Genomic DNA, 9489 nt, shown 5'->3' with positions numbered 1-9489 from the left:
CTATCCATGTCCCTGCAAATAACATGATCTTGTTATTTTTTATTTTTGCAATAGAGAAAAGAAATTGTTTTCATATTGAAATCGTTACTTACATCAATATTACAACTTAAACTTATTCCATGAATAGCAAAAAGAACAAAGCTGGAGGCATCACACTACCTGACTTCGAACTATACTGCAAGGCTACTTGTTATTATGTGTCTTTTTTATCCTGTCTTACCTGTTCTCATGGGTGAGTGGTGGGATTTCTTTGTGGTGTTAAATTGCATTTTCCTAATGATAAATAATGTTGAGCATCTTTTTATGCGCTTATTGGCCACTTTTACATCTTCTTTAAATAAATGTCTATTCAAATTATTTGCACATTTTAAATTGAGTTGTCTTTTGATATTTGAATTTTAAATGTTCTTTATATATTCTGGGTAAGTTTCTTGTCAAATCAGATACATAAATATATATCTATATATTTATATATGTATATGTATTTTTTTTTGCAAATACTTTCTCCCATTCTTTTCACTTTTGTGATGGCATCTTTTGAAGTCACAGAAGTTTTCATTTTTATAAAGCCAATTCATCTTTTCTTTTTCTTTTGTTACTTGTGTTCATGATGTCATACTTGAAAAACTACTGCCTAACCCAATATCACAAACATCCACTATGGTTTCTTTGCTGGTTTTAACTCTGACACTTAAGTCTATGATCCATGTTGACTCAATTTTTGTGCATAGTGTGAGGTAGGGATTCAACTTTATTCTTAAACATGTAGATATACAGTTGTCCTGGCATGATTTATTTAAAACACTGTTTTATTTGTGTGTATTGAATTGTCTGGGCAACTTTGTTGAAAATAACCTTTATATTAATAAGCTATTCTTTGTATTAAAGTGAGTTTCTTGTTGAATAATAGATTTGTGTTATGTTTTTGTATTCAATCTGACAATTTCTGCCTTTTATTTGGTGGGTTTACTTGGTTCATATTTAATGTGACATTTTTAATATTGCTGGATTAAAATCTAACATTTTGGTAGCTATTCTCAATTTATCCCTTTTGTCCTTTGTTACACCTCACTCCTTTATCTTCCTTTCCTTGGATTAATTGAGCATTTTTCATTGTTTTATCTCCCCTAGTGTCTTATTTTTATACCTCTTTTTAAAAAATATTATTGGTTGTTCTATGTTTATAATATACATCTTTAGTAAATGCATTTTATCTGCACCTTCAAATAACACTATACCACTTTACCTGCTGTGTAAGAACCTTGAAAAATATATAACTAATTGTTTCTTTTATCTTTTGTGCTAATGTCATAAAATGTTCTTGTAATATGTAAGAAACATGATACTTTGCTATTTGCTTTTACTTCAATCAGGCAGTTACCTTTAAGAGCAATTAAAAGAATGAAGACAAAATGAAATTCATCTTACCATTATTTGTTGTATTTTCAAATGTACTTCCTTTCCTTGTGAACTTAAATTTTCTGTATGGTCTTATATTTCTTTCGTGTGTGAACTTTAATAGCTTTGTTGAATAGACCTGCTGGCAATGAGTTCCCCAAGTTTTTCTCTGCTGAGACTGTTTTCATTTCTACTTTACTTTTAAAACATATATCACTGGGTATAAAACTCTGGATTGACTTTTGTTGTTGTTCTTTTTCAGCTCTTTAAATATATCACTCCAAATTCAAAGTCTGTTGTAATTTTTGCGTTTATTCCTCTGACTGGAGTTTTGCTTTATTTGCCTGTTTTTTCACCAACCACCTTCAAGATTTTCTTTTAGTCTTTTGTATTTAGCCATTTGAGTGTGATATATTTAAGCGTGCTTTGTTTGATATTTATCTGATTTTATATTTCTTTAATTTTTATATCTGTGGTTTGATATTTATCATTATTATAGAAAATTTGGGCCATTATTTATTCAAATATTACTTCTGCCTTGTTTTCTCTCTCTCATTGTCTTCTTACTAGGATGTCAATTGTGTGTATTAGAACTTTACTATTTACCTACAGATTTGTATTCTCTGTTCTTTTTATTTATTTATTTATTTTCACTTTACTGTGGTTTTGTTTAGCTAATTTCAGTTTCAAATTTGTATCTTCAAATTCACTGACTTTTAATTGAGCTGTTGAGTCTACTTATGATCCTATAGAACACAGTCTTTATATGTTATTGCATTTAAAAAAAAAATCTATTCCTATTTGATTATTTCTTATAGTTTCTTTCTCTCTGCTGAATTTATCCATTTACTATGTTGTCCTCCTTCTTTATTACAAAACTTAACATATTAAAATGTTATTTTATACTTCCTGTAAAATAGTTTCAACATCTGTGCCCTGAGATCTAATTCTACTGATTAATTTATCTCTTAACATTGTGTCTTTTTTTTCTTGTCTTTTAATCTTTGGTTGAAAGATGGTCATCACATGTATAATAATACAGAACAGAGGTAAATCGATCTTGTTGTTGTTGTTTTTGTTTTGTTTTGTTTTGCTTTGGTGACTGGAAATGTGCATACTCTTAGCTCTGCTAGGCCTTTAGCATTTGAGTTAAGATAGAGATGACCTGGCTTTGAGGATTTTCTTCCTTAATTAACCTCAGAGTACCACTCTCTTCAGATACCCTAGCATTCCCTTAGGTTTAAGGTGGGGGAAGATTTGCAAGATAGCTTTTAAATGTTGATTTCACTTTTAGCTTTGGGTATCCCCTTTGCACTGTGCTTTGGGATTGGTCTGTCTTCATGCTCTTGAAACTCTTCTTGCAGTATTCATTGCTATTTGTTACTTGATACTTGTTAGGCTCATGATGGTGGTTGGGAGCAGGAGTGAAGGGGTAGGGGTCATTTCTATTGTGTTGATTTAGTCTCAGTATTAAGGAGGCAATGCGTACGTGATTGTCAGACCCAAAATCTTTTTAGTTTTTCTACCTCCCATCCCCAAACTGTAGTTCTATTCCCAGCAAGTATTCTGGCCCCCTCCCCTCAGGTAGGTTTTTTTTCCCATTACCTACATCCAGCTATCAAGGCTTACTGCAAATACACTAAATATGATCGTGTTTGATACCCTCCCCTTAATACAGATTAAGACTTCTGTTCTGAAAAGAGAATGGGAAGAAGCATTTGGGTAGAGTTTTGTGTCCTTCCCAGGCAGTTACTTTTCCTCCCTCAGGTCTGCTCAAGACAGGACACTTTACCACCATTCTAGGCAATTGGGGTTACTAGAGGAGAAAACCTGCAAAGGATATGAACTCTCCTTATGTGCCCAGACCCAAGGGTTCACACTCTTTCACCAACCTACACTTGACCTCCACCAATTTATGAAATATTCCAACTTACTTCTTTTTACTTGTGTCAAGCTACATCTGTTCCAAGTTCTGGCATTTCATCTTTTTCTGTAGGTGTCTGTATTTCCTTAGATCTTAGGCCAGTTTCTTGCACTGTGACCACAAGTTTCTGTTTGGCTCAAAAAACTCATGAACTTACAGTGTGTCCAACTATTTTTCATCTAAGTGTAGAAGTGATGCTATTTCCAGCTCTATATATTCCCCAGGAGAGTCTAGAAGTGTATCTCTACCATTATATTTTGTTTTTTAATTGCTAAAAAAAATTTTTAGGATTAGACTATAACATTGATTTAACTAAATAAAGCAAAACTCCAGTAATTTCATCTTCTCCAGCTTTCTCTGTAAGCCATTTTATTCCTATCCTCAAATCTGAAACAAACCACTCTGTCTAGTTTTCACAGTCATTCTTCTGTTTCAGTAATGCCAATCAAACTCGGCAAGTACTAAAGATGTGCTCTAACCTAATGGCTCTACCACTTTTAGTTTAAAACATTAAAAATTATCTGATGAGAATACTTTTATTAATAATTTATTATCTAGTGGTATTACAATGCAATTTGCTTAGTCTTACCCAAGGGAAATCTGATTCCATACATTTGTGAGCGAGCTAGAAACTCTGGATTTCTGATAAGCCGCTCTGGTATTCTGATGCCTGTGGTTCCATGATCTCATTCCCTAAGAAACTCTCCTAAGCCTCTATCCCAGTAGACTACTGCTTTTTAATTTCTACCATTTGCATTTTTCTTGGTCTCACATCTCTGTCTCCAACTTTTGCCTATCTTTCAGTGTTTTTCTACTCCAAATCCTCTCCCTGAGAGCAGAGGTGATAATCAAATAATAACTGGCAAATTCTCTGCTCTGACCAATCAGAACACAGGCTACCCCAGTCAGAATAGATGTCAGCAGTAAAGAACAGAACTGCTGTGCTGTGCCTACCAGCTAATATCAGGCTTCAAGGAATCTACCTGGAGCTTTAATGTTTCTGTAAACATTAATTTGCATTTCTGTAAATATCAGTTTGTATGCATTATTTTTTTAGTAATTTATTGAGATAAAATTCACTTACTATAAATTCACCCATTTAAAGTATTACATATAATTGCACACAGTGTTTGCCATCTGATGTTTTACTGATTTGTGAATGTGTATTGTCTTCACTAAAATATAATTTTAATTATTTTTTAAGAAGAGGTATGTCTTCTTATCTAGAATTTTCAATTGTTACTTAGCTAGTTCCCTCCACCTAGTAGTTGTTCAGTGAACATATTTTATTGAATGATTGAGTAGACAATGTTGATTCTTAAATACTCAAGTTATTTGAGTGTATAGCTATGTTTCAATAGTTGCTATATTCAGGGGTGTAAATACATTAAAATAGAGCAACAATCACAGCAATTTTTTTAAAAAAGCACATTGTTGACTAACCTTATGGATGCAGGCTTATAAAGATTTAAATAAATGTGGGAGCAGAAATTTTACTATTTTAATACAAAGCAAACAAAAAATTCAAAAATAAGAACACTCGATACATACATGTACACATAATATATAATAAGGATATAGAGTATTTTGCATTTCTCAACTGAGAATCAAACTGAGTAAGATATATGCTCCTTCTAGTCAGTGTCTAAAGCAGACTCTTTAGACATGTTGCTATATCACAAATCTTCTGGAAATATCAATATTCCAACATAAGCATTCTCAAGAAGCCGATTTTGTTACGATGCCCACACAGCATTAAAAAATATACCTCAGTGAGCAGCACTGAGAGAAAAGATAATATATTTTGCAGTTTAACAGTTATTTTTCTTTCTTTACCAATATTTTAAGGTAATTTTAAGACTGAACTATTTGGTGTACACACTTTTAAATCTAGGACACATTTCTTAATCTCCATAAGTCTGTTCTTACCAGTTTTTCTAGTTATAACTCTGCTGTCAAGTATACTTTATTCCACTGGGACTGAAATCCTCTACACAATCTGTGTTAAAAAATATTCATAAATCATCTAAAACACAGCTGCCTATATTTCAGTCAGGCATAACAAAAATACTCCAGGCATAGCTTATATTTTTGTCTCTACCAAGTTAAAAGAAAACAGGGCTAATCAGAGCAAGTCAATAAAGTTTGTCTTCTGTGTCACTAGCTCCACAATGTTTTTCTTATCAATACTTATTTATGTTTTTTCCTATCAATATTTACTTCTCTCCATCATTCAGGTCTTCAATTTTCTTCACCCTTTATCACTACCCCTTTGTCATATCTGGTAGGGATATAGTTGTCATTTAGGTGGTAGAGAAAAAGAATTTCAAACAAAGACCATTGTTTTATCTTTGGTTATGTAGATTCCCTGAATGAATATCTGACCTACACACCCTGAAGATGAATGCTTTAATCCTTTTAGAGCCATGCACAACAATGTAGATTTTCATATTAAAAAACAACAAAACTCAAGAGACTGAGTTTTGAAATTGTTGGGCTTTGGGTTATTACTGAAAGTTCAAGGAGTATGGAAAGATCCCTGTATCATTTCTTTCAGGGCTTTTTCAAGTTCTGAAGCATGTCATTTCTTAATTCAATAAATATTGTGTCAAACAATGTTCCTTCATTAAGAATGTAGCAGTGATTATGATACACAAGGTCTCTACTGTTATTTGGTTTATAAGATTAGAAAGGAAATATATCTTATGAAAGTAAATGAATATGCAAGATAATTTCAAATATGAATGAGTGCTATATTGATACCCCTCCGTGGCCCCCACCCCTAAATTAATGTAATAAATTGCCTTTGAGAAGAACCCAGAGAAGAAGCGTGAGCATTTTACACAGAGTAGTCAAGAAAGTTCTTTCTATAGGTGGTGACATTGGCAGTGAGCCCTGTGTAATGACAGAGAAAGATAAGTAGTTCAAGAGAATAAAGAGGCTTCCTTTCAGAAGTTCTATCTTGAGGAACAGCAATTGCAAAAGCTTTAAAGGGAAATAAGCTCAATATATTGGAGAAATAGCGAACAGGTCAATGTAGCTCAAGCATAGTGAATCCTGGGAAAGATAGAATGATAGATGTTGTGGAGCAAAGGAAGGGAGATATCTTGTAGTATCTTGTGAGTCGAGATAAGAAATTTGGATTTTTATTATCTAACTAGAATGACAAGCCATGGAAAGGTTTAAATTAGTGAAATAGCATAATCTGATTTACATTTAAAAATATTGCTCAGATTATGTATGGAAAATGTATTGCAGGTAGGGGAGTTGGAAACAGGAAGATCAATTAGAAGACTATAACCAGGTGAGAGATGATGGCTTAAACTAGGATAATACAGTGGAGATGAAAGTAGAATATGAGTGAAATACATTTAAGATCTGCCAAAAGATGGTTCGATAGCTTTAGAATCAAACATACCTTGGCTTGAAGCTTTCTCTAAAACTGACTATGTATGGGACATTGAACAAGTTATTTAATTTTATGACAGTCTATGCAGGCAGCTCCTCAGTTATGAGCAGCACCAACATGTGGTAAATTGTAAAACTGATGAAAAATTCTTTTCGTCCCTGAATTTATGGCTTGTGGTGTGATTTTGCAGGTATTTTTATCAAGAGGTGGGAACTGTTTCTTCACCTCCTGACTCTGGGTTGGCCATGTCATATTTATTGGCCCAGAGAATATTAGCATTATGATGTGAGCAGAGACTTAAAACCTTTTGCACAATGATGTTTTCTTGCTATTTATGCTGTTTGGATCCCTGCCACCACCACATTTGACAAACCCACAGCTAGCCTGCTGTTTGAGGGTGACATGTGGCCTAGCCACTTCTGTCGTCACAGCACACAGCCATTCAGTTCCCAGCAGCAGTCTTCCAAATGACTAACACGTAACTCTATTGAATGAGTGAGGTTGGTCAAGACCAACAGAAGAACCACACAGTTGATAACAAATTGATAACCCATGGAATTCATGAACTAAATAGTTACTTCAAGCCATTAAGCTTTGGGGTGGCTTGTTAAAAGCAATTGGTAACTGACACACAGAGTCACTGAGAGTTAGGGTAGGAGATGATTCAACACTAATTAGAGTTTGTGAATAGAAACACTGAAGGTGTAAAATTTTCCATGGTGATTTACAATATTTGTCAGAAGACAACAATAAATCATTACATTGATTGACAGTGAAGGGAAATAGCTCATCTCGATGCTAACAGAGACAAATAACATTCCTTTTTAAACATGTTCTGTTTCGAACATTCCCACTCACAAATTCTCACTTACTGAATTTGAAGTTTGAGGGTACTGAGAAGAGTAGACACATACTATAGAATGTCAACCTAGAAACCATATAAGAAATGTTTTTTACTGTGACTATTTAAATTTATAATAAAACATTTTAGATTTCCATTTTTTCTTCTCAAAGTTACACGAACCAAAATTTTCCACCACTCCTTTTTTCAACTGCAATGGAAAATATATTTTTTGACATGAAAACTTTTGTGGATTTCTCTGGAGGTCTACCTTTTATAAATAAAATTCTACTTCTGGGAAAATAGAAATGAAACTCCAGAAAACCAACTAGCTAAATATCTTTCACCATAGAAACATTATATTAATTCTACATGTCTATGTATGCTTTTGTGTAATTCCTGGATATTACAAATATACATCAGAAACAGAAAGAATAGCATCTGGGTTTCTCGATCTAGACATTACCTATTATTTTGGCTTGAGCAAATCATTTATCTGCTCCGCTTCTTTATTTCACATCTGTAAAATGAGAGTGTTGAGTTACATTCTCTAAGGTACTTTTTGCTTCACAGATTCTATGATTTATGATGCAGCTTCTTATTTTTAATTTTGTAACCTCTAACATATACTAACCATTTAATTTGACAATGCCACTACTCTCACATGAGTGTTTCTTGTTTGTTTATGTAATTATATGCACATAAGAAGACTCATTCATTAAGTTCCCATCTTCTTTGTGGCTGTATGCAGTGAATGACCCAGATATCAGTTTATCTCCTCTGTTCAATATAAGCCTCTTCCCAATCCATATTATGTGGTCACCTGTCCGGAAAATGCAACCAAGACTGATCACCACAGGTGCACCTTCAACCTTGATATTGATTTACCATCTTGATTTATAAAATATATCATGGTTTCCAATAAATGTTATTCAGCTGTGTTTGATTGCTTCAATGGCTGAAGAGTTTCCTTACTGATTTCTTTTAATGGCAATCACATTAAGCATCCCATCTATTTTAAGCAATTTTTTGGAACACGTGAATAAGTTTCTTGCATTCCATTCTTTAAACTATTTTTATAACGGAACAAAAAACTATAAAACCATTTTTTGTGATATAATAGTTTGATTCTTGTATTACTTTGTGTTCTTGAAAAAGTTAAATTGTCCAGAGAGAAGAGTAATTATGATATAATACCAAATAATTGTTGTGGGCTTCTTAACTAATGTTGTCCCTAAAAGTGATAATAGATTAGCAAGCACAGAGATAGAATAGGAGACCTGTTGTTAGGCCTGATTTGAAAGGGTTCAAAAACACTAATCAAGATAAAATAATTACATCAACAGCTCAGTTTACAATGTGGAATTTTCTTTACTAATGTAATATATTGTTTAAAGCATTTTCTCAGAAAACAAAATTAAAATGCATTTATCTAACCTATACCGTTAACTAATGTACCATATTAATTAATTTAAACCTAGTTTTTAATAGCATTTTCAAATAAAATTTACTTGCTGGACATTCAGTATGATTTAATAGTTATCAAAATGGAAGAAATAAACTTGACGAATTAACGTCAATGCACAAGTTTATACATTAGGAGTAGAAATTTGGACTGGCAGGTTAGGCCTACTAAGCAAAGTGAAAATCTGTGCAGCTGGGGGCAGCAAAATGTGTATAAACAGACCTTTCTTATGGAATGTAAGTAAATCTAAGGGGTGGCAAAGCTCACCCTGGGATCTTCTAATTATGCATCTGTTATTCCAATGCTCAATCCCATCCAGGATCTGACTCAGAAACCCTAGGCTACAGTGGTAGCATCTGTGTCTTTGAGAAGCTCCACAGAAGATTCAGAGATTCACCCTAGCTTGAGAGCCACTAATACGGACAAATTACGACAAAGGAGAGGAAAGTGAT

Source organism: Homo sapiens, chromosome 18 (genome assembly GCF_000001405.40).
Source record: "Homo sapiens chromosome 18, GRCh38.p14 Primary Assembly".
NCBI lineage: Eukaryota > Metazoa > Chordata > Mammalia > Primates > Hominidae > Homo > Homo sapiens.
The sequence above is the reverse complement of the archived record's forward strand: the minus strand, read 5'-3'. Positions refer to the sequence as shown.